The following is a 27,429-nucleotide window of genomic DNA, read 5'->3' as shown; positions in this document are numbered from 1 at the left end:
ACCATAGGGTTTATGGGGGGCTGGTCTGGCAGCAGCTGACAAAAAACAGGAAGAAGGGCTGGGGGAGCGGCTGTAATTATGGGGCATTTATTATTAATCAGATGAAATTGCTGGAAGCAGCTGGTGTAATGTGCGTAGCTATACAGACTCTGCATGCTCCCCCCACAATACGCACACACACATACGCACACCACACACAGCCTGAGCCTTGCTTGCTTTCACAGTCTGTTTCTTGTGAAGGTCAGATGGGTCTATATGTGTCTGTCTGCATACTGGAGTGTATCTGTCGGTGTTTTTTCATGTCAGCCTGTACCCTCCTCTACTCCTATTGTCTCCTTTTCCAGCTATCTCTCTCATTCTTTGGCCTAATGTGTCCCTCTCTGTCTCTGGCTTCCCCTCAGTCTTCCTCCCTTTGAGCCTGTCTTGGTGTGGCTGTATCTGTCACTATCAACCACCTGTCTCTAACATCTTATTTTAGTTTCTGGCTATCTCTCCCTGGGTGGTGGTGTCTCTGCATCTCTGGGCAGGATTGGAAGACATGGAATCCCTTTCTCATGGTATGTGTTTAGGCACCTAATCATACCTTTGGCAGATATATCTGGGACCTGTTTTCAAGGGAGCAGTTGGACCCTGAGGATCTCCTGGGGTCTTATAGAAGGTGAGGGGTCTTTTGAATGGCTAGAGTCCATAGAAGCAACAGTGGCTTTCAAGATATCCCTGAGTTCAAGGCCAGCTCCTTTACCAACTACCAGTTGTATGACTTTGGCCAAGCTGCTTCTGCTCTCTGAGCCTCAGTTTCAGGATCTGTAAAACAGAAACAGGATTACCTCCAAAGCTTGTGTTTTTTTTTTTTTTTTTTTTTGCCATAGGGTTTCACTTGGTCACCCAGGCTGGAGAGTGCAGTGGCTCAATCTTGGCTCAGTGCAACCTTCGCCTCCCACGCTCAAGTGACCCTCCCACCTCAGCCTCAGGAGTAGCTGGAACCACAGGCACATGCCACCACGCCTGGCTAATTTTTTGTATTTTTGGTAGAGATGGGGTTTCACTATGTTGCCCAGGCTAGTCTGGAACTCCTAAGCTCAGGTGATCCACCTGCTTCAGCCTCCCAAAGTGCTGGGATTACAGGTGTGAGCCACCATGCCTGGCCTTGAAGCTTGTTTTGATGATTCAGTACCAAAATGTAAATTAAGTACTTATCACAGTGTCTGGGTAACCAAGGACCCTGAACAAGTGATACCTGCTGTTATTATTCTTGGGAAAGACATTGTGCAGGTGGGTGAGAGACCTGCACAGGCAAATTGGTATAGCAGCAAGGTTTTGGAACTAGATACGGACTCAAATCTAGACTCTGGAACTGATCAGCTCTGTGGTATTGGGCAAGGCCTCCTTGAAGCTCAATCTCCTTGGTTATCAAATGTGAAGAACAATAAAACCTACCTCATGGAGAAATCATGAAGATTAAGTAAGATAATGCATATAAAGTGCCAAACACAGTTCCTGGCATATAATAGATGCTCAATAAATCATAGTGGTGATAAGGAAGGGGGTGTTACGATGGTGGTTATTTACACCGTGCCTGTGACCCTGTGCCTCTAGGATTGTGCATGTGAGGATGCATGTGATATGGAGGTGCCTGTGTGTCTGCAAACTGATTGTATAAGAATTGTGGATTGTCTGTGGGTGTGTATCTGTGTATTGTATCAGGCCACTGCCTTCTGGCAACCTTTGTCCCTGTGGTTCAGAACCTGAAGTCAGCAAGGGGTGCTGGGAGGGGTCTGTATTACTCTCAACTTTTCTTCTTCCAGACGTTTAGCTGCTGCCTGCCTCAGTCTCCCCTTCTCACAGTGGGGCTGTGAGTATGGAATGGCCTCTGAGTTGGACTAAGGCCTGTGGCTCCTCTGTGACCTCTGATTTGTGCCCTTTGCCCTTCTAGACTCTAGCCTTGTCACCTCATCTTGCCCCCTTGGTTTTGGAAGTCCTGAAGAGTTGGTCTGGAGGAGGAGGAGGACATTGATGTGCTTGGTGTGTGGCCAGTGGTGAAGAGGTAGGTGCTGGGGCCCACGTGGGGCAGATCAATCTCAGGGAATCAGGCAGGTGTAGTGGGGCTGTACGTCTAGGGGACATGAGTGGAGGAGGACCTGAGATTCCTTCCTCTCTTCCCCTGTCCTTTCTTTTTCCAGAGGTTTTGGGCTCAGCCTGGCTGAGGCTTTTCATGCTCTCAAATAGAAAGGGAAGAGACTTACCTGTGGTCACACAGGCAAGGGCAACACCAGGTTAGGAAACTGGGTTCTATACTAAGGGGGTGCTGAGTCCCAGATATGGGAGTATGTTTCTGTTTCAGTATCCTCAGATTTCCTCTCTGCCCCCCAGACATCTCTCTTATTTGATTGGAGGAGCAGCTAGGCTTTAAAAAGATGGGATGGCAGGTCAGAAAGTCCAGAATCTTCTGAGGCCAGCTGTGGGGCCGAGCCTGACTCTCCCTGTCTCTCATTCAGGCCAGGCAAGGCCCCTGGATTGGCAGCTTGGGGGTGGGGGCATCCAAGGCATCGAGGCACTGGAGCGGAACGGAAGGGCCTATTGTCCAAAACCCGCCAGAGGCCCACAAAGGCCGGCCGGGCTTTTCATCTCAGCTCCCAAACAGACTGGCCATTTTCCCGGCTGGGGGCTGAGGGGGGACTAACCCTTCACAACTAGGACCAGGTTGTTGTTGAGGGTGGAGTGGGGTACCCCAGGCTGACACATAAAAGGGGCTTAAGATGGAGCTGGGGCCCAGGAGAGGAGGAAGGGAGGCCTGAGAAGGCTGTAGAGAGTTAAGCTTTTCACCCCACTGTTCCCAGAGGACCCAAGGACATGGGGTGTGTATCTGATAGAAGTTCAGACTAGGATGGGGCTAGGAGATGGATTTACAGAATAAAAGATAATATTTATGGGGGGTACCTTGGGAGGAGTCTGATGGCTTATTTGGAAAGTGTGCTACTGGGCTGAGAGGGCACGTAATCCTCCGCAAACTGGGAACACCTTAGGGAGCCGGGACAGGAGCTGGAGAAGAGAAGGATAGTGGTCGGGGAAAGAATGGGCTCCCTGCAGCAAGAAGAACTGAGGCCAGACAGCAGGAAGGACTTCCTGCCAGTGAACAGTAGCTCAGATGCCCTGACCCTCTTCCTGGGGATCTCAGAGGATTGCCTCAGCGAGCAGGGGAGCTGGAGAACACCCCAGGGGCTCAGGCTGAGGCAGCTTCTGTGGGGGCCAAGGAGGAGGAGGCCAGAGAGGGAGGACTTGGCAGTTCTGTTCACCCTCCCCCAGCAGCACCTCCAGCACCACTTTAAAAACAGCTTTTTAATTTAACAAAGTGGATGAAAAACGGTTTTTGGAAATAAAGAATATCTGCTGTCTCCCAGGCTAGCACTCAGCCCTTGCAGAGAGCCTCTCTCTGGGCTTCTCCCTGCTGCCCATGGTTCCTTTCCTCCCTGTCTCTTTTTGTTTGTTTGTTTCTGCTCCTCAGCCCCCCAGCTTCCTTTGGCCTCCCATCACCCTCTCTCTCTCCATCACCCTCTCTCTGTCCATCTCAGCCTCCGTGGGAGCCTCGCCCTCAGTGTCTTATCTCAATGGTATCTCTGCATTTCCTTCTGTCTCTCCTCTCCCAGTCTCTCTCTTCTAGGGCCCATCTCTCTTTCCTGATTTGTCTCTGTCTCCCAGCCTGTCTCAATCTCTGTCTCTCCACCCCCCTCCTTCTCCCCCAACCCCAGCTCTAAATGGGTCTATTTAAAACGCCCAACGCTGCCAAGTCAGAAAAGCGTCTCCTGATAAAGCGCATTAGGCGGAGGGAGGGAGGAGGGGGAGGAGGGAGCGGCGGGCGGACGGATTGATCCAAGCCCGTAACCCCATTAATCAGGCAGCGTGGATCCCCCTCCCTCCCCCGTTCCAGCCCCTTTTGAGCTAAAAGCCCCTTAAATATTTATCACCCCTCCCCCACAGGGGCGAAGGGAGGAGGGTATGGCCCTTGGTGTGAGTATCCCCAGCTGTCTGGTGCCCCCGACCCCATGCGGATGTGCATTTGCACGTGTGCGTGTGCGTGTGCTCATGTATATGTGTACGGGTGTGCACACCTGACAAGCCCAGGGTCCAGTGACCAACCTGTCCGTCACCCTCTGGGCAGCCTGGTCCCTCCCTGGAGACCCTAGGAGTCTGGCCCTGCTCCTGTCCCTCCTAAAGGCGGATCTGGGGTCCTCATCCCAAATGCAGAAAGTAACTGGAGGACGGGTGGCATTGCACTGTCATTCCCAGAGGGCAGGATGGTGAGCCTGGGGTTCAGTTTCCAGATTCCCCCAAATTCCCAGCACTGGAAGTAACTTGGGGAATAGAGTTGGGGCCCCGTGCTCCTAAAGTAAGGCAACTTGGAAGGCTGGCTGAAGTTCCTGCTTTATCCTCACAGGGCAGAATAGGACCTGGAATAGGACCTGGGGGTAGGCTGGGAGCCTCCCGTGCCCTAAAAAATGTGGGAAAGTGAGCTGGGCCTTGAGGTGTGGCGGTCACCCCGGGAGGAGGAAGGTAGCCGGGAGCTGGGGCCGGGTCCCACATCTCTCACCACTTGCTGATAGCCCCAGGCAGCAGAGGTCAGCCCTGAGACCAGCAGTGGTCTGCCCGAGTTGGCCTGCGGCAACTTCTCCTTGGGAGGGGAAAGGAGGCCCCGGCCACCCCTGGGTGTGGAGAGGGGCCGGGACCGGAGCGGGGAGGGTCCCTTCTGCCTCCCCTCCCCCAGCATCAAGTGCCACATCTCCTCCTGACTCAGACAATTAGATTCAAAGGATGACCTCACTGCATGCCGTCCCTCACTCTCCCTCCGCTAGCTCGCTTGCTCGCTTGCTCGTTCGCTTGCAGCGCGCTCCTTCCTCCCCTCCTCCCGGCCCGCTTGCCCGGTCGCTCACTCGGGGCTCGGCCCTCGTCGCTCACCGCGCGGCCCGGCCCCTCGCCCACCCGCCCGCCGGGACCGCTGTGGGGGTTGCTTCTGCCTCCCGGGTCGTTCCGGCTGCCCGGGCCCCAGCCCCGCAGACCCGATGCCCGCAGGCGGGCAGGCGGACCCACGGAGCGCCGGAGGCACCGACGGGGCGCCTGCGTGGGGACCCAGGTCAGTGGCCACAGGGCCGGAGGACTTGTCACCCCCGCCGCCGCGACGCCCCCGCCCCGCGCTCGCCCGCCCGCCAGCCCGCCCAGCCCGCCTCGGCGCTTCCCGCTCCTTTCTCGGCCTCCGCCCCCCGCGGCTGCTCGGCGCGCTCCCCCTGCCAAGCTGTCTCTCTTCTTTTCTCTTCTCTGTCTCTCCCCCCAGCCCCCCTGCCTCTGCAGCCGGTGGGAGGGACTGGGACTTCCTGAGGTCCCAGGGATGGGGCCGGGGCCCATTGGCTGCAATCGGACCAGGCCTCTGAGAGGGGAGGGGGCTCTGGCTGTGTCCATTGGCCTGGGGGAGGGGACCACCGCCTGAGTGGAAGGGGGGCTACAGAGAGAGAGGCCCAGCGTGTGGGGGTGACATCTAGACAGAGGGGATGAGCTCCTGATATCTTTCTTTTCTCACATCCTGTGGGCCTCTTGCCTGGTTTCATTTGATCCCCAAAGCCTGGCTTCATTTGTCCACACCTCCTAGCTAACTTTAGTCCCCACTGCCTGATTTCATTTGGCTCCCACCACCTACCTTCTTTGGGGCCCTGTCACCTGGTTTCCTTACACCCTGCTGCCTGGTTTCTTTTGTCCCCACTGCCCCCTTCCCCGAAGTCCCTATCACCTGGCTTTATGGCATTACCCCTGCCTGGTTTCCTTAGGTCCTGCCTGTCTTCCGTGGAGTCACGTCAGGCTCCTTTTAGGATGGAGGCATCAGGGCCCCAGCTACACCTGGAGTGGCAAGTGGCAAGGATGTCTGCAGCATTGCCGATCTTTCCTGGGCTGGGGCCTGGCCAGCACAGCCTGGATTCCATTCTGACTGGACAGCGACTCCGCGTCTACTCCTCCAGTGATGGGGGCGGGGCTGCAGGGTCCAAGGACACCTTAGGACTCTCCTCCTCAGTGGTTAGTTAGAGGAGCACCGCTGGCTCTGCCTGCTCCCCTCCTGCTGCTGGGCATCTGCCCTACCTCTCTGTGGGCTGACAGTGATGCCAGGGCTTTGGTGGGGGCTGGGGGGCTGGAGTGGAGGTCTCATCTCCTTCCCTTCTCCTGCCCTTTCTGCAGCCAGGCCAGACATCTGGGTGCCCGCTAGACAGTTATGGGCACATAGAGGTTTTGAAGAGGCCTTGGGATCACACAGCAGATAGCTAGGCTGAGAGCTGCTGCCGATCCGCATCGTGGGGAAGAGAGGGTGATGAGGGAAGGCAGCAAGGGCCTGGGAAGTCGGCTGATTTCTGGGCCTTTCTGGCTCTTGCTGATTCCAGTGCCACCATCTGTCTCCCCCAGGTACTTCCTTCACCTCTCCTGTCTGGAATGGATCTCCCTTCATTCCCTAATGCTGTTGAAAGCAGGGTTTGGGGAAGAAGGAGCTGCCTGGGGAATAATCATTTATTTTCTCACTTTTTAGGGACCAACGAAGTATTTCCTTTCCTTTTCTTTCCTGCCCTAGGCATCCCTAGGCTTTCTGTCCCTCCCCTCAGGCACGGCTAGGCAACCTGAGGTGCTGGCACAGTGTGGCTGTTCAGGGTGTGTATGTGGGTGTTTCCCATTGCCGGTGTCGGGGCGTGAGAGGCCAAGGGCGACTGGGGGCCCTGAGCTTCTGGAAGTGTACAATGGTGTCTGTGTGGAAGGTTGACTGTTCGGAGTGTGTGATGGTATCCATATGTGAGACCATGGCTGTGTGAGGGAGTCTGTGTGTGTGAGTGTGACTGTAATGTGTGCACGCACACCAGCGTGTACGGGGCTGTGGGAGTGGGTGTCCATGTGGGAGGCCCTGATGTGTGGCCACGATGGTAGGCTCTGAATGCCAGTGTCTGCGAGAGGCTGCCTGGGTGTGTCTGTGAAGCTCTGGCCCTGTGTGTCTGAGGAGGCGGGGGCTTTGAGAGCTCTGCCGGGTGTAGTGAGAGCCCAAGTGTGTGCTCTGTCTCGGGGTGAAGTGAGCGCTGGGTGCTCTGTGGCCTGAGTGGCTGGTGTGTGTGTGAGCACGTGTGTGCACGTACTCACGCCTGTGTTTACCCATCAGGAACAGATTGCTGTGGCTTCCCCACTGTGAGGAGGGGAGGAAAGGGGAGGAAGGATGGCTCGGTCTTGCCCAGCAGACCAGGAGGCTCCTCAGAAGTAGCGTGCATGGTGCATATGCACGTTAGGGGGCAGAGAGAACAGAACACAGAAGACATTTGAAGCTTCTTTTCCCCCCACCCAACTCTGGCTCTGTCAGAACGACCATCTTCAGGTTTTTTTTGTTATAAGCCGATGCATCACATGCACTGCTGCCCCCACCCCCCGGGGTGTGTGTGTGTGTGGGTGGGTGGGTGGGTGGGTGTGTGTGTGAGCTTGCTTGCATGGGCCTCTGTGTATGGATTCAAGGGTGTGTCTGCACCATAGCAGTGATGGGGCCAGGGGTGGGTGTGGTAGGAGATGCTGAGGCAAATAGGTCTTTGTCCTAATCTCCAACTCTGGAAAGCCATTCTATCCATCCTTGTCTCCACGGAGGGCCCTGCCTTGCAGCCTCCTTCCTGTCCCCGGCGTCCGCTTCGGGCCTTTCCTTACCCCACCCCCCTGCTAAGGGAAGTCTCAGTCAACCCTATTGCTCTGCCCATCCCCTGCCTTTCGTTGAGTTCTTCCAGCTGTCTAATGTGCTACAGCGTTCTGTCCCTACAAGAGGAGCAGTACCCCGCTCCCCACAGACTTAGCCTAACTGGTGTGTGTGCCTTTCCTGGGTGGAGGGGGCTTCCTGATTCTTCTGGAAGCCAGAAGAGACTGGACTGGGGTTGGGGGCTGGGGGATTTGGCACCAGTACCTCAGGTTCTGTGAAGCTCTCCAGAGCCTATGTGTCCAAAGGGAGGATACGAACTTATCTGCCCCTTCCTCCTCTCCATTCAAGAGGCAGGGGGCTGGACCAGATGACTTTTGAGGGTGAAAGCCCAGGCCTTCTGCATCTAGAGGGCTACTTAAGCACAGGCCTGCATGTATGTGCATATACAAGCCCATGCCCAGGTCACCAGGCAGCATGCGGGGCCCCAAGTGGGCCTCCACATGTGGGCACAGGCTGGTGACAGATTCCTCTCTCCCCAGGATGCCTCCCCAGCTGCCCAGCCAGGCCCATCATGGGAGGGCCCCAGGCTCCCCCAACAACACGCCCGCACACACGTGCAGCAGGGCACGCACATGCTGATCTCAGGGTCCCCACGGTGCAAGAGGCTGGGAATGGGGGTTTTGAGCACTGAGTCCAGGCCGCTGCCAAAATCCATCGGAATCTTGTCCCCTCCAGGACCCCATCTCCGGCTGTGGAGGTCACAACAGCAGGTGCGGATACCAACCCCCCCAACTCACTCAATTGGGCCGCCTCCTTTTCCACAGCCTCAGCCAGCGTCGAGAGCTGGGGGACCACTCCCCCTGCCTCCCTCCTGGCCCCTTCCTACTGGTGCTTGGCTTATTCTGCCCCCTTCTAAGGAGGAGGACAGGGCCTAAGCTTGGGTAGGGTCATTTCCCCTGAGGACTGAGGCTTGCCCTTGGCGTGGGTGGGGACATGGTAGCCCAGGAGGAGGTAAAGCTTGAATCCTGAACCCAGGCACAGCTTGGAGCCCTATGCCACTTGAGGTGGGGTCACTGAGAGAGCTGAGAGGAGAGGCAGGTCTGGATTCAGAGAGGAGGGAAAAGAGAAGGGGCTAGAGATCAGAGATTCGGAGACAGGAGGGAGAAACACCATAGGGAGTGGGAACCTGCCCGCCCATGGCTAGCCGGCCCCAGCCCACGAGCTGGCCCCTGACCTAGGCCCGCCCTTCCCTGGTGAGGGGCCTGCCGGGCCAGCTGCCAGGGGCCAGGCCTCCCTCCTCGGCCTGGTCCCCCCACCCCCCAAGCCTCTGGACCGCTCAGGCCTCTGCCCCCGCCCCCACCGCCCACGCTGTCCAGGCTGCCTAGGCCTGGTGGGATCTGGGGGCCTCCCAGCCTCAGCCCCTCCTCCCTGTCCTGGAGCTTCCCGCCTGCCCTGACTATCTCTTCCAGGCTCCCCCCTCAGCCAGTACTGTTCCTCCCTGCCCACCATGTCCTTGTCCCTGTCTTTGCCCCCGCTCTGTCTCTCATTTCCTTCTCCATCTCCAAGTCTATGTATCTCTGTTTCTCTGCTCCAACCTAATTCCTCTGCAGGTCTGAGGCTTCTAGAGTCCCCAGGCGTTTGAATCAGTGAGTCCATGCTGTGTCCTGCATTCTTGCCTCATTCCTGAGATGGGCCCTCTAGGCTGCTGTGGGGAGAGGTGAAGGAGATGAGGCTCCAGGATAAAAGGTGCCTTTTCCCCTCACTGTGGGATTCTGGAGTCTGGGCTGTGGGAGTCAGAGCGGGGACTGGAAGCTGTGGGGAGTCCCCTCCGCTCTGTGCTGGGCCGGATGCCCTTCATCAGATGGATGTTCTGAACCCACCCTGACGCCTGGCAATGGGGGGAGTCCATCCGGTGACCTTCTTTGGATTTCAGTTCCCTGCCTCGGAGTTGGAGTAGTAACCTTGCTTCGAGGTCACTTGCCTTGAGGCCCCCCTGATCCTTCATTGTCCAGGCCAGACTGAGCCTACCTGAGCCTCGGCGTGCCCACAGCAACCCAAACCCTGAAGTGCGCAACACACTATTACAGATCAACCCGCACACACAATTACAGCTGAGACGCAGTTAGTGGTGCTCATTATCCCCCACCCTGACCTGATGGCGGCAGGGCTTCCCCAGGGTTGGCCTTCTACAATCTAAACTGCTGTAATTCTGCAGGGATAAATAGAGGCTTTCCAAAACTCACACCTCCTTCCCCCAGGTTCTGCCCTCAGCTGGGCATGGGGTGAGGGGAGGGGTACAGGGCAACCCGGAACATTGCTGGGACTGGCAAGACGGTTCTTGGGTCTTGGGTCCTAAGCCAGATTCTTAAACTGGGTAACAGGGGTTCCTGACCTGGAGCCTGTCGCTGTGTCTGTTTGTTACCGACGGCGGCTGTCAGACTTCAGGGCTGCCAGTATTGCTGTGGACTAGTATCATTCTGTGAGACTGTTACTGAGTCTATCAACATTGCTGTGTCACTGTGTTGATGTCACCGTCAGTGTGACTCGATGTGACTGAGTCTCATTGCATCTTTGATTCTGAGGTTACCATCACTGTGACTGTGTCAGTGTCAACTGGTATCATTGCCCCGTTTGTTGGTGTCAATGTATGTGACTGTCACTCACTGCATTATTGTCATCGTGGTGACTGTCAACATCCCTGTGTGTCATTGTCAACGGTACAACTGTGTCATTTTCAATGGGTGTTGTTATCATTGTGTAATGGTATCTTTATGCCACAGTGGGACAATGGCAGTAAGTTGGGGCCCCAGAATTTGACTCTTAATGTGTTACCTGTGTGGGAGTAATGATGACACTAGGGTTCTGTGCTGGGAGAGGTGCAGGGACCCTTGTGCTGACAAGGGGCTCAGGGGCTTTTGGGCGCTAGGCTCCTTCCTTGCTTATGGGGTACCCCCTCTGTTCCCTCCTCATTCTGGGGCTGACCTCTTTGAGGGGCTGAGAGGAATCCTGGGCTAATTTGCAGAGCCCTTATCTGGGGCTCTATGGGATTTATCCTGCACATCTATCTCAGAGCCATGGGGTGTGGACTTGGAAAATTCCCAGGAAAGATGCTCTTTGCCCTGGGATGGGTGGCCTGGAGTGAGCCAGGGCAGGATGGAGGTGTGTCCTGGATGCCTCTGGCTTCAGCCTCCCAAACTGGGCATTGGGCCCAGTTGGGAGTCTGAGGAAAGGGGGAAGTGAAACTGGCCTGGGGCTTTCTGGATCTGCAGGGGCAGGGCAGGGGCAGGGGCAGGGGCAGAGATGGGGTTTTACCCTTGTACCCTAGGGGTTGGGGTCCTAGATCCCCAGCAAGAATCCTTCCAGCCTCCAGGAAGGCCCTGTTCTTGCCTCACATTGCATTGACCACCATCCCATCCTCCATTGTGCTAGAGGAGCTGGGCAGGCCACGGAGATGCTCTAGGGTGGGCAGAGACCCTGCCAGGGGTCTCCTCTCTTCTCTCTGGATCTGTCTCTCCCTCTGCCCTTGAGTCTCTGCCCATCTCCTATATGCCCCATCTTTTCCCCTGCGTCTCTTCTATTTCTTCCTATCTCAGCCTCTCCTTGTCCCTCTGGGTCTCCACTCAGAGCTCCTCCTCTCTCCCTCCCTCTTGTCTCTCCTCCCTGAGTCTCTCCCTTTTCTGGGTGCCCCCAACCCTGCAGTGTCTGTCTTGGCACCCCATCCCCACTCTGCAGCACTCACTCTCAGCAGCACCCGTCTCCCGTGGCTGCAGCCCCGTTGGCCCAGGGCCCGGCCCTTACAGTAACTCATCAGGCTGATGGAGGCGACTTTGATGAAGAAGCCACCCCTCCCCCCGCGGGGGCCTGAGTGTGTGTGTGTGTGTGTGTGTGTGTGTATGCGCACGCGTGCACGCATGCACGTGGGAGTGTGTGCTTGTGTGGACCAGGAAGGAGCTGGGAGTAGAGGCCACCCATTCCTCCTCTCCCTGAACACTCCCATCCTTGGATCTAACCTCAGCCACTCCGCCTGCTCTTCTGCCTGCCCATGCCCTGGTTCCTGCTCCCATGTGGTGGGCAGTGGCCTGGCACTGAGGCGGAGGATCTTCCTGGCTGTGAGGAGAAAGACATGGACAGATGGCAGAGGCAGTGGGGGAGGGTGTGAGGGCGACTGGCCAGGGCTGAGGTTGGGGAACCAGGTAGGCCTCTGGCTGCTGGTCTCGTTTTCTCTCTCTTACACCAGCTCTGAATTCAGGCAGTCCTGGGTTCATTTCCTGGCTGCACGGCTTGCTGGCTGTGTAACTTTGGCCATTGTCTTAACCTCCTAGGCCTGAGGAGTAGCTGAAGAGTGGTGAGGGGCTGAGGGTCAGAAGGAGCCAGGCCAAGTGGTAGCTAAGGCTCCAGGAGTCACTGATGCGCAAAGGGTAGCTGGGGCCACTTAGGACACAGAGAGATTTACTGTGCCAGGGAGGGGCAGTCAGGGCACCTGTGGCTGTGACAGGGAGGAAAGGAAAAGCAGGCTCAGAGGAGGGGACTTTCCTGGAGAGGGTCAAGGGTAGCAAAAGGCAGGCAGGAGCCCTCTCCCACAGGAAGCCCCAGGAAGTTCATTGCTCTCCAGCCTCTCCGCAGCTGCTTCAGGCTGATACCCACATTTGTCTCTGTTATGCTATGTCTGCACTGTCTGGAGCTGAGTCTCTGGCACTTTCTCGGGGTATATCTGGCACTGCGTCTCTGTCAGTTTTTCTGGCTGTGTGTCTGGCTGTTTCTCTGGCAGTCTTTATAACGGTGTCTCTGGCAGTGTGTCTGACTGTGTGTCTGACAGTGTCTCTGGCAGTGTTTGGAGTGGTGTGGATACTTCCTGACTGAGCATCTGGCTGTGGCTCTGGCTCTTCTCTCAAGCTGTTTTTCTGGGTGTACGCCTGTTTGCGTCTATCAGTTTCTCTGGTATTTCTCTGCTTGTGTGTCAGACGGTTTCTCTGGCACTGTTTCTGACAGTGTCTTAGCTCTCTGGCTTTGTCGCCGACGGCTTCACTGCCTGTGCTCCTTGCTCGTCCTTCGGCAGTGTATCTGCCTGGGTCTAGCTGAGTCCTTTACAGTGTTTCTGGTGGGTCCTTTGATTGTGTCGCTGTTCTCTGACCACCTCTCTGGCTGGTTATCTGGTTTCATCTACCTGTCTCTTTGGCTTTGTCTGATGGTCCTTCTAACAGTCTCTGGTGTATCTTCCACTGTGTGTGGAGCTGTTTCTTTGGGGTTCTGTCTGGTGGTTTGGGGCAGTGTCCCCGGCCAGCATCTTTGCTGTGTGGCTGGCTGGAATCTCGGAGAGTGGCCCTGGTTGAGTGTCTGGTAGCATCCCTCAGTATTTCTCTGGATCTTTGCTTCTGTGTGGTTGATAGTTCTCTCTCTTCAGACTGAAGGTCAGGGGGTTTGTTACATTTGCAGCCCATTCTGCAGGAAATAATTATTTCCCTGCCATCAAGTGTAGGTGTGTGCTGGGGGAGGGGGAGAGAATAGTTGGACTCATCTCAGGAAGCAGGACACCAGGTTGGGGGGCACTGGATCCATCCTGGCTTCTGGGGCCATGTCCTGAGTGCATCCTGTGTACTTGCATGGGTGCATGTGGACACTGATGCACGCCTACTGGGCTGGGGGTCCCAGGCTCCTAGGGGCACATGGCTGGGGTCAAGGGTGGGCCGGGGTTCCTGACAAGGACTTACATATTAAAATCCTTCATTTTCTCTTGATCATTGGTGTACAATTACGGAAAAGCCACATCTGACCTGGGTCATGTCCCACTGCCCTGACTCGACTGCTCTGAGCTTCTCAGGGCCCAGTGGCAAGGCTCACCACAGGGGTGTCGGGGACAGATGACGGATCTGAGGGGCTCCCGAGCATCCAGGTTTCAGGCTCTCTCCCCAGGAGCACAGCAGGGGGCCTGCCATTCAAAGCAATCTGGAGAAGTACAGACCTCCAATTGAGTTAAAACATTACCCTTTCAGTTTATGATGTTTATAGCTAATTAGCTAACCTCACCAGTAAAGTTATTTTTTTTTTTAGAAAAATGGCCCTGGCATTACCAATATTCTGTAACTCATTTGCAGTTGACAACATTGTGTAGCCACTAGTCTTATCGAACAGCAAACCACCATAGGTTGCCTTCTACCATCTTAGCAAACCTTTGCCTACAGATGCCAATAATGTTGCTTTCTGTTGCCTGAAAGAAGATCTTGAGCCCCATTAAGAAGGGCATTTTGGGGTCAAGATGCTCTCACCTTAAACCAGGCTTCCTAAGCTCCCTGCCTGCATGATTCCCACCTCCTACTCCGTGTCAGTCGGGTTGGGTGAAAGCAGAGCGGGTGAGGGCCTCTCCAGGGCCCTAGGGCTGGGATTTCCCAGTCTTGCCTGAGAACAGGAGGGGCTCCCCAGGACAGTCCTGCCTGGGCTGATGCTGACCCCTCCCCCACCCCGGTTTCTCCCAACAGATGGCTGCTCCTGTCCCGTGGGCCTGCTGTGCTGTGCTTGCCGCCGCCGCCGCAGTTGTCTACGCCCAGAGACACAGTCCACAGGGTGAGTGCTCACGGGAGCCGCCTGCTGACCCCCCTCTCAGAGCTGGGCATGAACCCTCACTGGCATAGCTGCATCCTGACACTACCCAAGAGTCACACACTGGCATTGTCACACATGACCACCCAGAGGGACATGGAGTCATGTGACACTGATATGCACAGTCCTCCACACTCACACTAGGGTGGTCGAATGCTGACGGTGTCTCTGGCTTGAGATGATCTGTCTTCTTACTAGGGTGGCATAGGGTACAGGCAGGTGGGATGGGAGTTGACGGGGGAGGCTGGGGCGGGACCTGTATATTGTATCTGGGTGAAAGGGGATCTCTCGGAGATTTGTGGGGTGCAGTTGGAGGCACCGATTGGAGACAGTGGGCAAGACTGCAGGTCACCTTCTACCCTCAGCTTCATCCCAGACGGAGGATGGGGACAGAGAAGGTGGACTGAGAATGAGACGAAGGGACAGGCTAACATGCGGGAGAGAGCCAGTGCACTAAGGAAGGGACAGGTTAATCAGCTGGAATGGCCACACGGGGGAGGGACAGCTCAGGGCTCGGCCATTGGCAGCCTCCCTGCCCTCCCTTTACCTATTTCTCCAGTGAGGGGCAAGGCCTGCCCACAGCCCACAGGACAAGGAGCGGTGTTAACAGAGGCCCTCTTAACTTGGCCACCTGCCCCTCTACTGCACTTGAGGCAGCACCTCAAACAGCAACATCAGCCCGAGGTCTGAACTCAAAACTCACCTTGAACCAGGCTTCCTAAGCTCCCTGCCTGCATGATTCCCACCTCCTACTCCGTGTCAGTCGGGTTGGGTGAAAGCAGAGAGGGTGAGGGCCTCTCCAGGGACCAGGCATGGAGCAGACCCTGGTGGCTGGGCTCTGCCACCCTCAAGGCTGTGGGTAGTGAGTCGAGGCTTATATGGCCTCTTCTTTATGAGATCATCAGTGAGACCCGGAGAGATCCTGGCCAGCCCCAGGGGCATTGACTGGGCATCCCTAGGGCCTGCCAGTGGTCTCTACCTTGTGTCCCCATGGTCCTGGACATAAGGCCACCTCTCTGAGAGTGTGAAACTGTGTTCTTGTGAGGGTGAGAGTGTGTCCCTGTTTGAGTGCATTTCTCTGTGTGGCTGTATCCTTGTGGACTGTTCCTCACGTGTGACATTGTCTGTCTATGTCACCTTGCCTGTCTGCATGCCCTTTGTGGGGCTGTATCCTTGTGTTTGAGACTGTACCCCACATGTAATTGTGTCTCTCTGTTTCTCTTTGTGTGTTTGTATTAAACTGTCTCCCTGTGTCCCTGGGCATAACTGCTGTGCCTTTAGGTGATGGTGCCCTTCTTGTACGTGTACATGTGATCTCGTATCAGGTGTTACCATCCCTGAAGTGAGACAGTGTCCCTGTGTGACTGTGAACTTGTGTGTGACTGTGGCCTTGTGGATGACTGTCCTGCATGTCCTTCTTCTTTAGGGGTGACTGCCCTTGTTCCTTTGTGTGTGGCAAAGTGAAGTTGCTTTGGGATGCCCGGGGGGACTGTTTCTGACATGTGGTCCCCCTGTGAGCCTGTGTGTGCAGGTGTGAGGGAGCCGTCAGCTCTGTCCCTCTGTGTTCTCCATGTCCATGACCTCATCCCGTCTCTGTCTCTCATCCTGGCTTCTAACAACCTTTTCACAGCTGATTCCTTTGGAGCATTTGTCACCGCTTCAGGGCCAAGAACCCCAATCCTCCCCCTGCTGCTTGATTTAATTTCTGAAATGGACAGCACATCAGTAGGGGCACCCACGGGGCGGGAGCAGAGCTGTCCAGAGACAAAAGATTAAATCACTGCCATCTTTGGAGCAGTTGCATGGCTGCGTGTATTGCCATTGTTGTGTTATTGTAGCAGTTGTGACACTGTGTGCTTGTCATGTCCTCTTACCCCTCCACCTCTCCACTGTGGCCTGTCGTTGTCTTCTGCCATTGTGTTGTCATTTTTTCGTTCTGCCCTGCCTTTACATCATCGGTCTGTCATTATTGTCAGGTTGCGTTTCTACTTTTTTTGTGCAGCAGACAAGGTGTGGTGGGGAGGTGTTATCCCATAGCCATTGTATGTAATGTGTTGTTCGGTTGCTGTGTCCTCGTGTGGTGGCCGTACCTGCTCCCCAGGATTAAGGGCCACACTGGGTCCACGTTAGCGTTGAGCTGCCTGGTCAGTGTTGATGTGTTGCTGCTGGGACCATGATGGCCACGCCCCCTCCCCAAAGGTCAGTTTTCAGCCTCCTCCTCAGGCAGCTGGATGCAAAGTCTCTGCTAGGGGGTGCAGAGAGAGGGGCTTGGCATGTTTCCTGGAAGCTCCAGGTTTTTGGAAGGGAGGCTGGAGGGGGGCTCAGTGGCTGGAGCTGGTGGACTGTTGGGGGCGCTCAGTGGCCGGAGTCTTGGACACTGGGCCTCTGGTCAGGGGGAGGCCCCTGTTTAGTGTCTGGTCCAGCCTCACAGCTGTGGCCTCCAAGGCCCCCAGCCACCGCCCTTCCGCCCGTTCATCGTCTGTTCGGCTGGTCCCAGGCTCCACAGATGAGTGGTCAGGGCTGGCTGGGTTTCCTGCTTCCTTCTTCTCTGACAGGGACAGAGAGGGGCAGGATAGAGATAGGCAGCGAGGGAGAGAGACCCGGAGTCACAGAGAGACCCTGGCACAGCGAGGACGACAGAGGCAGCAAACCGGGACAGATGTTCCAGTGCAGAGCAAAGCAGGGCTGAGGAGGGGGCTGCAATGGGAGGAGGGGGTGGCCAGTGGGTCCAAGGGGGATCCCTACACCCCTGCAGTCTTGGTGGTGTTAACAAGCCTAATTAAGAGGCCACTGGCCCAACTTAATTGGCTCGTTAACAGGAATTGCCTCTAAAAATCCCCCAACTCAGCAGGGTGGCTCTCTGGAGGGGAGATGTAAGCGAGTGTTAACGAGGGATCCCGCAGCCCCCCACCCCAACTGCTGCCCTCTCCCCCTTCCCTTCTCCTCTCCCACCCTCACTCCGCAGATCTGGCCAAGACCTGGGAAGTGTCTGTCTCTCAGGCTCAGCGGGTAGGATGAGAAGGGGGTGTCCTGAGATTCCCATCTCCCTATCTCTGTGTGCCTGCATCTTAAATCTGTCTCTCTGCCCTGATCGCTTCCCCCACTTCGTGCTGCCTGTCGACAGGTGCTCGCCTCCACCCTTCCATTTCCAGTCTCCTGGGCTCTGTCCATCACGCCTGGGTTGCTGAAGGCAGGGCTGGGGTTTGCTTTTGGCTCTGACAGGCCGCTCCTGGGGGTAGGAGAGGAATGGTCAGAGTGCTCACTCCATCCCAGCAGCACCGCACCCCCCAAGCCCCCAACCTGCCCTAAGTAGTTCCTGCCTTGTGAACTTGACAGCTGCCAGGAGTTCCCTAGGGTTCCCTGCTGCCCATTCTCCCTTCTCCTGCTGCTGCCTGAGCCCTGGATGGCTGAGGGGCGGGTTGTTGTGGGGTGGCAGGCTGGGAAGGCAGAGGAAAGGGAGAGAGACAGGAAGAGAGATGGGGGAGGTGGGGGGTAGAGACAGGACAGAAAGAGACAAGGATGGGGTGGGGAAGAGAAAGAGATAAGGAGACCGAAAAAGGAGTCCAGGAGTGGGGCCCCTCAATGCCAGCTTGCCTGGGTAATAATGGACGTCAGTAACTGGGCTGGGCCTGTGGGTGGCAAGAGATCCGGGTCATGGGGGTCAGGAAACTTTAAAAAACCCAGGGACTGGAGAGGAACTGGGTTTTCTCTGAGAACTGACCCCTCTCAGCACTATGCAAACTCTCTGTCACATGCAAACACACACACACAGAAGATCGCCCATTCACATACCTAGCCCCTGTACATGCTCACTCACATTCACATTTGGAGACATTCATATACCCACACACTTGCACAGGCATAGAGGAGCTTTGAACACTCTTCATCTCCCCAAACACTCACACAGACACCGAGCCTCTCGTCCTCACTCATCCATCCTCACAGGCTCTTGTCTGAGCACGCTCGCCTGCGGGTGCTGGGCCGGGCTGTGACCTGTGACTTTTGCCCTGTGCCCCCACCCCCCACAGAGGCACCCCATGTGCAGTACGAGCGCCTGGGCTCTGACGTGACACTGCCATGTGGGACAGCAAACTGGGATGCTGCGGTGACGTGGCGGGTAAATGGGACAGACCTGGCCCCTGACCTGCTCAACGGCTCTCAGCTGGTGCTCCATGGCCTGGAACTGGGCCACAGTGGCCTCTACGCCTGCTTCCACCGTGACTCCTGGCACCTGCGCCACCAAGTCCTGCTGCATGTGGGCTGTAAGTGTTGCCCCCACCCCTCATCCAGCCTCCCTCCTTCCTTGAGACCCAGACTCCTAGCCCAGATCAAGTCCCCTTCCTGTTAGGGGGACATGGAGAGGGGAGAGCTGCAGCCTGACCCTTGCCCTCTGATTTTGTCCTGGCCCGCTCTTCTGGCCTCTGAGCCCAGTCTTACCCACTGAGTCCAGACCCCTAGACAATTTGCCCACACATCCCACCCCCGTGGAGGTCTTGGGTATCCTAAAACCCTATTCCCTCTGACAACATAGGCAGAGAGCTGGTAAGGCATGGCTCACCTGGGACATGAGTGGGGAGAGACCCTCAGGTCACGGATCTGAGCTGGAGGAGCCTCACTGTGTCTGCTCCCACAAGGGCTAGTCAGAGGGCCTCAGGGAGGGAAGTGGGATATGTGGTTATGCAGGTACAGGCAAGGCGCTCCAGGAGGCCCCAGGGAAGGAGGAAGGCATCCTGGAGTGGGAAGCGAATGGAGACTTGGGAAGCGAACGGTGATTTAGAAGACGCATTGAAACATCATTTCTGGCAGAGAGCTGGGTGTGACCGTAGGCCTCAGCGGCTGGGAGGGCATGTAAAGGCCACTTGGGCTGGTGTTGATGTGGAGAGGGAGCTGAAGGAAGGGACGGGGGGCAGATCATGATCCTGCAAGCTGGGCAGTGACATCTTCTGGGTCATGTTCTTAAAAGATCACTCTGAGTGGAGGGAGGCAGGTTGGATGGAGAAAAACCAAGGTAGGAAGGAGACTGTTACTGGATGCAGGAGAGAGGATGAGGACCTGGGACCAGGGCATGGAGCTGGGGAAGCTGAGAAGGCGCAGTTGGACGTCGAAGAATTGGTGATGGATTGGAGGTGGGAAGGACAGGAGAGTAGAAGGTGGGAGGAGTCAAGACAGCTGGAGGAATCCATGACTGCAACAGGAAGAAAACGGAAGGAAAAGATAATGTGTGCTGTTTGAACAGTGTCTTAGTTTGGGTTTCCCTAGAATCAGATCCCAAGATGAGAATTCTTATGCAAGTAGTTTGTTTGGCAGGTGAAGGAAATACCGTGAAGGAATGGGAAAGTGACACACAAAAAGGAAGTTAGGTTAGTCAGTAAAGAGTGAGTTATCCAGACATTGCCTCTTGGCGACTGAGGTTAACCACCGAAGGTGCAGATGCAGAACGTGCACCTGAGTTGCCCTGCCTGAGGGTGAGGGAGCTGGGATGTGTATACACTAGCTCCTGCCCATCAGTGGTTGAGAGATTCACCTGGGGTGGGAGGGAGGCTCTTTGATTCCCCAGCACTTTTGCCCTGATGTCCCAGCAGGCAAAGCAAAAGAAAGCTCTTAGGCGAATAACTGCAGAATTTGGGAGTGAGAAGTATTAATAGTATGGGCAAGGGATCGGCGGCTCCCTAGACATCTGCTGCAGACCTGTTCAGTGGGATCCTTGGAGGACAACCGGGAGTTGATGGCTGGTAACCAGTGGGTCTGAGCGTCTGGGATTCGGGGAGAGGCCTCTGCTGGAGATGGATATTTGTGGGGGGTTGTCAGCATTAAGGCCATGGGAGGGTGTGAGATGGCCAAGGGAGAGATCATGGAGTGAAGAGAGAAGAGGACCCAGAATTGAGCCCTAAAGACCATCAGCATTTAAAGAGGTCGATGGAGGGAAATGAGCCACAAAAAGAAATAAGAAGGAGCCAGCAAGAAGGTAGAGGGAAGACCAGGTGAGTGTGATTTGGAAGAGGGATTTTGAGAAGTCAGAATGACAAGGCCATCACCATTGCTGAGGGTGAGGTGGGCAGGCATCCAGATCCCAGCTGGAGGTACCCACCAACAGAGTGAATACTCTGAACATAGTTCCATTTCTTCATTTCTTTTCTCCTGAGCCAATGATTCAAGCTCCTCTGGCCTCATTTTATTTGGGTATGGTTCACCCCACTGCCCAAAAGTCGTCTCCTTATTCCGTAGAAGCTACCTAGCAGATGTTTAAGGGATCTGGGAGCAGACACTTGCCTCGCTGTCAGAAGACTGGTGTAGAACACTGTGTAAAATGTTAGGCTGAAGGGTTGTTCAGGGTCTTCCACAAAAACGCTGACCCACCAGTAGGGCTTAAAGAGGTGTGAAAATGTATTTTGGTGGGAATGTACCTTTCCCCATGGGAAGGCCTTTTTTTTGGTTATTGTTTAATGTGTCTAAACTGAAGAGATGGCGTTCAAAACCCAACATTTTAGTTGCAAGCCATGGGTGGAGTGACCCCTGTTGGCCAGCTTGAGAAATGCAGGACCAGCCTAACAGAATTCTCCTTGGCGCACTATGGGGTCCATCAGAAGTGGAGCACTCAGCCTAGCCCCAGGCCCTTTCAGAGGGAAAAGGGCCATTTACTGAGTGCCATGGAAAAAGGATGAACCCAACTTGGCACCGGTCACCCACATCCCTGTCTTCTCAGTTTGGGCCCAGAAGTCCTCAGGATGGACAAGACTGACTGTGATGGCTGGGCCTTGATGACCCTGGACCCCCATTCTTGATGATGTGATCTTCTTTGAGAGGTCGTTGGAGGGGAATTGGGTCTTGAAGTAATGTCCATAGTCTATACCCACGGGACATGCCCACAGCTGCCCTGTTGTGACCAGGGCCCAGACCTTTTATATAGAGTGCTCACTGCCCTCCAGGCCCTGCTGCCAGATGAAGGCTGGCCATGAGTTGGCTGTAGCATTAGTTTCAGGTACTTATCTCTCATTGCATTATTTCCTTCTAAAGACCTGGTCAGAGGAACAGGGGATATTAATCATTATCGTCTCAGTCACTTTATATTAGTAACAAGAGACTGGCTTTGGCAACACTCAGTATCAAATTATCCTTCCTGCCAGCTCTCAGAGAACAGGACAGAGTTACCCCTGATTTGTGGGTCATTCAAACCAAAAATTATTTAATATTTATCCCAAACACATGCAATTTGTCTCTATTTACAAGGGAACTTGGTCTTAACAGTATTCTGTTGGAAGTCTCCTTAACCAGGCTAATCCCTGAACTGCTTTCTCCTGATCCACCTTCTTGCTCTCAAGTGGATCCTCACGAGCAGAGCCCTAAGGACTCCTCTCCTCCCTAGGATGACGGAAGGACCCCCCACATTAGGAAGCAGGATCACAGTGTTGCTTTTAGTAGCATCTTTTTATTTACAAGACACTGCTGATTCTGTATCGTTCTGATCTTAAGCTAAAACAAACCAGAGATTAAAATGATTTTTAAATGGACAGTTCCTTCTCCAGTTTTTTAAAACTTTTATTTGATTGGTTAGGATGGAAGCTCTGGGTCCCCTGGTTCAGCACTGCTTTCCCTGCAGCCCTGTTTGGCTGGAAAGGAAAGAGTGAGGAGAGGGCTATGGTCAAAGAAGACGTCTGGGGAGAAATCACAAGTGGGAGGTCGCCGGGGCATTTGGGAGTCCAGAAGTTGGAATGCCTCAAGGGATGCCACGAGATAAGGCTGAGCCAGGCCTGAGCCTTGAGTGCCAGGCAGGAGGCGGCGTGTGGGTGGGGCGTGGGTAGGGCTGGAGTGGAAGGGTCACCCTGCCCCACCCTGCCTGATCTGGCCTGGCCTAGGGTGTGGGCAGCTTGCCCCTCCTCCTGTCTGGGCCGGCGGGCAGGCCTCATGCGTGCCGGGGGCTCCAGCCCAGGCAGGCTGGCGAGATGAGAGGAAAAACATGCGGTTTGGTGGGCTGGACATGGAAAAACAAGCCAATTAGGAGGAAAACAAACAAACCCTGGGCCAGTGGGGGCACACGCACACATACACACGCGCACACAGCCCCGCGTGGGACCCAGGGACACCCTGCCACAGGCTGACAGTCACTTGGGTGTCTCAAGAGCCCCCACAAGGGGCAACCCAGATGCCGTGTATGCCCAGAGCCTGATACTGTGACCTGTGTGCATAAGAGCATTTGCTCACACACTCTCTTTAACATGCACTCACACGGTGTTCAGTTCATACGTGTGAACATGCTGTGAATTCTGGGCACCCTCCCACATGCACAGTTTGCAAAATACATTCAGCCTCACTATGCTCCATCACATATGCACTGCCTCATGTATGAGCTCTAGCTGTCACTGTGTTCAGACACAATGGCACACTTACAGGCACTCTAACAGAGTACCTTGGCCACACAGCCTAGCACATAGAGACAGTCTCGAGATTGAACAGCCTCACCCTGAGTCACGTGCAAACACAGTCATCCAGTCCCACACAGCCTCCCATCCTACAGTTACACAACTGCCCAGAGTCTCACAGCCACACACATGGAGCCTCACAGTTACACACAGCCTTGCAATCACAGCGTCTTAAAAACAGCTTTTCCTCCAACTCACAACACACTCACAACAGGCATCCTGATCTCACACTGTCCTACAATCTCACAGCACCCCCACCTCCGCCCACCCGGCCCCTCAGCTGGGCTCCAGCTGCAGCAAGTCACTCCTTTTCTTCCTTTTGTTTTTCTTTCCTCCTTTTCCCTCTGAGAAACCTGGTCCCTGTCAGGAAACCCAAGCCCTTCCCTGCTCAGGGCCCAGGGCCAGGCAGGAGTAGCCAGATGACAGACAAAGCCTCCAGTCAGCCCCCCAACCCCCACCCCACCATGACCTCCCCAGTCAGGGAGAGGAACTGGCGTGAGGGGGAGGTTGGAAGGGGACGCGGTCTGAGGGGGGAGGACAGTCGGGGAGTGGGGGAGCCTGGTCAGTGGGGAGGCTGGCCAGGGGTGGGGGCCTGTGAGTACAGTGCCGTGGCCCGCTCTGCCCTCCGAGGAGTCCGGGGCAGCAGGGAGCGGACTCTGCACACTCCGATCCCCACCCCACCCCCAGCGGTGGCAGGAGCGGGGAGTGGAGGCTTCTCGGCCGACCTCGGAATGTCCTTTCCTCCTGGGGTGGCTGCCAACTCTGGCTTGGCCAACAGGCCCCCAGAAGGCACTTCCTGTGTCCTTGGCCGCCCCCCACCCCACCCCCAGGCAGAGTTCTGCACCCGTGGGCAGACAGGGAAGAGACACTAAAGGCACACAGGATGAACATGGAACGACATGAGATGGACGCAGGGCCCGGAAGGCTTCCCAAGGGAGGCACACAGTGGAAGGCAGAATGCAGGTTGGCCCTGTGGGGTCTCAGCTGGACCCCGCTTTCCCTGACAGGCCTGGGGAATGGAGCTGCCTCCGCCCACAGCATTGCACCCTCCACCTGGTGCCCTGGAGTTCTGATGCCTCTCTGCCCCCTCATCTCTTCTGCTGCAAAGCTAGATCTGGATCCTGGGGGTTCTGCCCCAGGCCCCTCCCAGCATCACACATACTGGACACGCACACGCAATCACACAGAGTCACTCACAGTCACGTGCACACTGTGGATGGAAGCCCACTGTTCCCCTGTGTCACCATGGCCACTCTACAAGCATAGACATGCACTCCCCTTCACTGTCCCTGGCTTATTGCGCTGCCCCCCTCCCATTTCCTGTCCACCTGTCAGGCCGGGGGCGGGGGAGGGGGGAGGCACAGGAGGGAGGTGTCAGTGTCCCTGGAGCCGCAGATGGACATTCCTTGCTCGGGTCAGATCACATAAGCTGCCTCCTTCCAGGAACCTGAGCCGCCTGTCCTCACGCCTTACCCAATGCCTGAGGGTGGGACAGCTGGGCTAAGTGCTCACGGCAGCAAAAAAGAGTGCGGGCTAGACAGCAGAAAGGACTTCCCAAGTGTGTGTGTATAGGGTTACCCCTGTCCTGGGGTTTAGCTCTGGCTTACTGTCTGACCTTGAGAGGTCCTTATCCCTCTCTGGGCCTTCCTATTCCAGAGTGAGGGCAGCTGCTTACCATGTAAAGGGCTTCTTAAAGGGTCTGCGATGGAGATGCTGGGGGCTGGCACTAAGGTGAGGTACACACAAAGGGAACAGCAGCTTCCTTTCAACAGGCACTTGTACACACACACAATCATACATAGACATGCAGATTCACACACATCCGCATAGCTGCTCCTACGGATCCCTGGTCACTCATTCATGTCACATAGAGACATGCATGTAGCACGTATACCCCTGCATGCAGACATCTACAAACACAGATACGCATACAAACAGCTGCCCAGTGCTGTTCCTGTGTAGCCACCAGGCCTGTCCTCGTGTCTCTGTCTCTACTGAGGGAAGTCTGGGGTGTCTCTTCTCTAGGAAGTGCACCCGATACTCCAGCAGTCGGAGGACCCATTCAAGACTCCCCTCGTCTCTGCAGCACAGTCTTCCTCTGGGAGTGGACACAAAGTGGCAGGAGATGTGGGGCTGGGGCCGATTCCCCCAGACATCACCTCCATCCTGTGATTGATGAGTTGAGGCCCGCAGCCCCCTGCTCCCCACGGTTCCTGCCTCCATTGAGCAGGTGGAGGGGGGGTTCCGTGTCCGCACAGCCCTTGTTTTTCTTTAATTAAACATCTGGCTCTTGTGGCCTGGGAAGCCTCAGACCCTCGCTGACAGCCTCCCCGCCACAACTTTGGCATCAATGATGGGTTGAGGGGGGAGAGCTGGGGCTCTGGGGCCCACCTGTCCCCATACAGTGCAGGGGACTGGGAGCTCCAAGAATGCCCTGACCATACTGTCCTCACCCCCAGTGCCGCCGCGGGAGCCTGTGCTCAGCTGCCGCTCCAACACTTACCCCAAGGGCTTCTACTGCAGCTGGCATCTGCCCACCCCCACCTACATTCCCAACACCTTCAATGTGACTGTGCTGTGAGTAGCTGCGCCTGTGACCCGGGTCCAGCCCTGACCTCTGACCTCTCCCCCATCCCACCACCATGCCCTCTGTCCATACCCCAGCCCTGCCTTGGGCTTGACCTTTCCTCAACCTCTGCCCCACCTGACCCTTGATGTTCGTAACAGTGCCTGGGTCTCACCTCTCCCCAGGCATGGCTCCAAAATTATGGTCTGTGAGAAGGACCCAGCCCTCAAGAACCGCTGCCACATTCGCTACATGCACCTGTTCTCCACCATCAAGTACAAGGTCTCCATAAGTGTCAGCAATGCCCTGGGCCACAATGCCACAGCTATCACCTTTGACGAGTTCACCATTGGTACGTGTGGCGGTTGGGGGGACCTGCTGCCTACTCCAGTGGGAATGTAAGTGGATGTGTGCCATTGGTGGGGATGTCCACATGCATGCACATGTATACATGGCATGTACATGCCTCTGCACAGGTATGTACAGTGCACATATATGTGCACATATATGCATGACATATACACCTGTGAACGTGTAAGTGAATGTCCTTTACCTGAAGGGCCGAGAGACCTGTCCAGCAGCTCTTTCGATCATTTTTCTGGCTCCCAGAACATGCAGCAGGGGGAAGGGGGGGCAGGCTGGGCCAGACCCTTGTGCAGCTGCAGCCTCCACCGCACCCCCCCCCAACTCTAATGGCTTCCTTACGGACTGTGATGAATGAGGTGTCAGAACAGGAGACAGGACTGGGACAGATACTGCCCTCCCCCTGACCCCCCCCATCCCAGCCAGACCCTCTACCTGCCCCTGCCCTATTCCAGGCAGGCTCTCTGCCTGCTATTCCCCCGCCCCAGCCAGACCTTCTGCCTGCCCCTGTCTTCTCCCCAGACCCCATGGCTGGATCCCTAGACAGAGTATTTCTACATAAGCTGGGCCCTTAGGCGCGCTCATCAGATCCCCAGCCTACCTCCAGATCTGCAACACCTGTGGACTGTCTTTTACCCTTGACCCAGGTCTTAGTTTGGAACTGGAAAAGTTGAAGTGAAAAACCAGGCTTGGGGGAATGTGTGATGCTGGTGTAGGAGGGGGTAGTCCAGGTGACAGTGGGGGTGACAGTGGTAACTATGGAGGCATCATATTGTCTTAGTTACTGGGATGCAGGTCAGTATGAGGATAGGGTTGGGATGATGGGATGATGAGATGAAATTTGGAATGTTGATATTAAGAGTTGGTGACAGTGACTGTAGTGACAGTCATTAGTGATGATGGGGATATCAGACTTGGAACTAATGAGATAGTTGTCTATGGTAGTTATCAGAATTGACAACAGAGAAGAGGCACGCTGACTATGATGTTGATGACAATGGTTGGCAATATGAGAGGGTCAACATGGTGGCTGGAGTTGACAAAGTGGGTTGTTGCCAGTGATTAGTGTAGTAATGAAGCTATGTCTCCTGAACAGTGAAGCCTGATCCTCCAGAAAATGTGGTAGCCCGGCCAGTGCCCAGCAACCCTCGCCGGCTGGAGGTGACGTGGCAGACCCCCTCGACCTGGCCTGACCCTGAGTCTTTTCCTCTCAAGTTCTTTCTGCGCTACCGACCCCTCATCCTGGACCAGTGGCAGCATGTGAGTGCCCTGCCCGGCCAAGATCCTGGGTGCCTGAGTTAGAATCATGTGCAGTGAGTGGCACCCATATCCCACGTGGCAGCAGCTCCAGTGTGAGACCTGATGCATCAGGCTCTCTGCGGGGAAAAGGGACAGGTGGGCCTGGGAGAATGGATGGAGCTGAGGCAGGTGTCCTTAGGGGTTCCCAGTGACCCCTGTTAGTGCAGCGGGAACACATATGTCTTTCTGTGGCTCCCTGGGGTCGTGGAGAGAAATGCAGGGAGGGAGATGGTGAGGGAGGGAGATGGCGGGGGAGGGAGATGGTGGGGGAGGGAGATGGCGGGGGAGGGAGATGGCAGGGGAGGGAGATGGCGGGGGAGGGAGATGGCGGGCAGGACAGGCAAGGCTCCCTTTCCTTACCTCGCTCTCAGCCCTGACCAGGCATCTCCCTCTTTACACTCTGGCCCAGGCTCTGGGCTTGTGCTGGCCCCAAGGGACAGGAACGTGCCTGTCCTCAAGGGCTCACAGATGGGCCCAAGGGGTCAGGATCAGGCAGTGGGGTCAAG

At 55.8% G+C, this 27,429-nt stretch overlaps 1 protein-coding gene and 2 long non-coding RNA genes across 17 annotated transcripts in view, besides 3 other annotated features; 1 reads left to right on the top strand and 2 right to left on the bottom strand.

Moving 5' to 3' along the window:
• The window catches only part of CNTFR (ciliary neurotrophic factor receptor), a 39,420-nt gene that overhangs the window by 7,714 nt on the left and 4,277 nt on the right, over nt 1-27,429 (top strand). For 5 of the 15 annotated variants that reach the window (XM_047422756.1, XM_047422755.1, XM_017014261.2 and 2 more), the window contains exons 2-8: nt 1,934-2,044; nt 5,811-6,054; nt 14,158-14,242; nt 18,307-18,540; nt 25,155-25,272; nt 25,447-25,613; nt 26,721-26,884. In XM_047422756.1, coding sequence (XP_047278712.1) covers nt 5,854-6,054; nt 14,158-14,242; nt 18,307-18,540; nt 25,155-25,272; nt 25,447-25,613; nt 26,721-26,884 — 969 coding nt within the window. In that variant the 5' untranslated portion in view covers nt 1,934-2,044; nt 5,811-5,853. Of the gene's footprint in view, nt 1-592; nt 659-1,151; nt 1,853-1,933; nt 2,045-5,810; nt 6,055-7,522; nt 8,455-9,294; nt 9,331-14,157; nt 14,243-18,306; nt 18,541-25,154; nt 25,273-25,446; nt 25,614-26,720; nt 26,885-27,429 lie in introns of those variants that run through there. The other 10 variants (XM_017014263.2, NM_001207011.2, NM_147164.3 and 7 more) reach the window with 6 other exon arrangements.
• On the bottom strand, nt 67-15,127 carry CNTFR-AS1 (CNTFR antisense RNA 1). The gene is given in 2 exon segments (NR_024369.1): nt 67-804; nt 14,982-15,127. It is a non-coding gene; the product is annotated as a CNTFR antisense RNA 1 (long non-coding RNA).
• Nucleotides 3,604-4,578: an enhancer, noted in NCBI's record as "H3K4me1 hESC enhancer chr9:34578559-34579533 (GRCh37/hg19 assembly coordinates)". NCBI's record gives its function as "activates a minimal SCP1, AML or CMV promoter by ChIP-STARR-seq in naive and primed H9 embryonic stem cells {active_cell/tissue: H9 hESC(naive and primed)}" and the evidence as "EXISTENCE:reporter gene assay evidence [ECO:0000049][PMID:30033119]".
• Nucleotides 11,715-12,215: an enhancer, noted in NCBI's record as "H3K4me1 hESC enhancer chr9:34570922-34571422 (GRCh37/hg19 assembly coordinates)". NCBI's record gives its function as "activates a minimal SCP1, AML or CMV promoter by ChIP-STARR-seq in primed H9 embryonic stem cells {active_cell/tissue: H9 hESC(primed)}" and the evidence as "EXISTENCE:reporter gene assay evidence [ECO:0000049][PMID:30033119]".
• Nucleotides 13,075-14,040, bottom strand: LOC105376023 (uncharacterized). The gene is made up of 3 exons (XR_007061466.1): nt 13,948-14,040; nt 13,523-13,627; nt 13,075-13,167 (listed from the first exon to the last, which is right to left on the bottom strand). It is a non-coding gene; the product is annotated as an uncharacterized LOC105376023 (long non-coding RNA).
• Nucleotides 14,188-14,722: an enhancer, noted in NCBI's record as "H3K4me1 hESC enhancer chr9:34568415-34568949 (GRCh37/hg19 assembly coordinates)". NCBI's record gives its function as "activates a minimal SCP1, AML or CMV promoter by ChIP-STARR-seq in naive H9 embryonic stem cells {active_cell/tissue: H9 hESC(naive)}" and the evidence as "EXISTENCE:reporter gene assay evidence [ECO:0000049][PMID:30033119]".

This window comes from Homo sapiens, chromosome 9, assembly GCF_000001405.40.
Source record: "Homo sapiens chromosome 9, GRCh38.p14 Primary Assembly".
Classification (NCBI taxonomy): Eukaryota; Metazoa; Chordata; class Mammalia; order Primates; family Hominidae; genus Homo; species Homo sapiens.
Note: the sequence above shows the minus strand (reverse complement) of the source record. Positions and strands in the feature narration are given on the sequence as shown.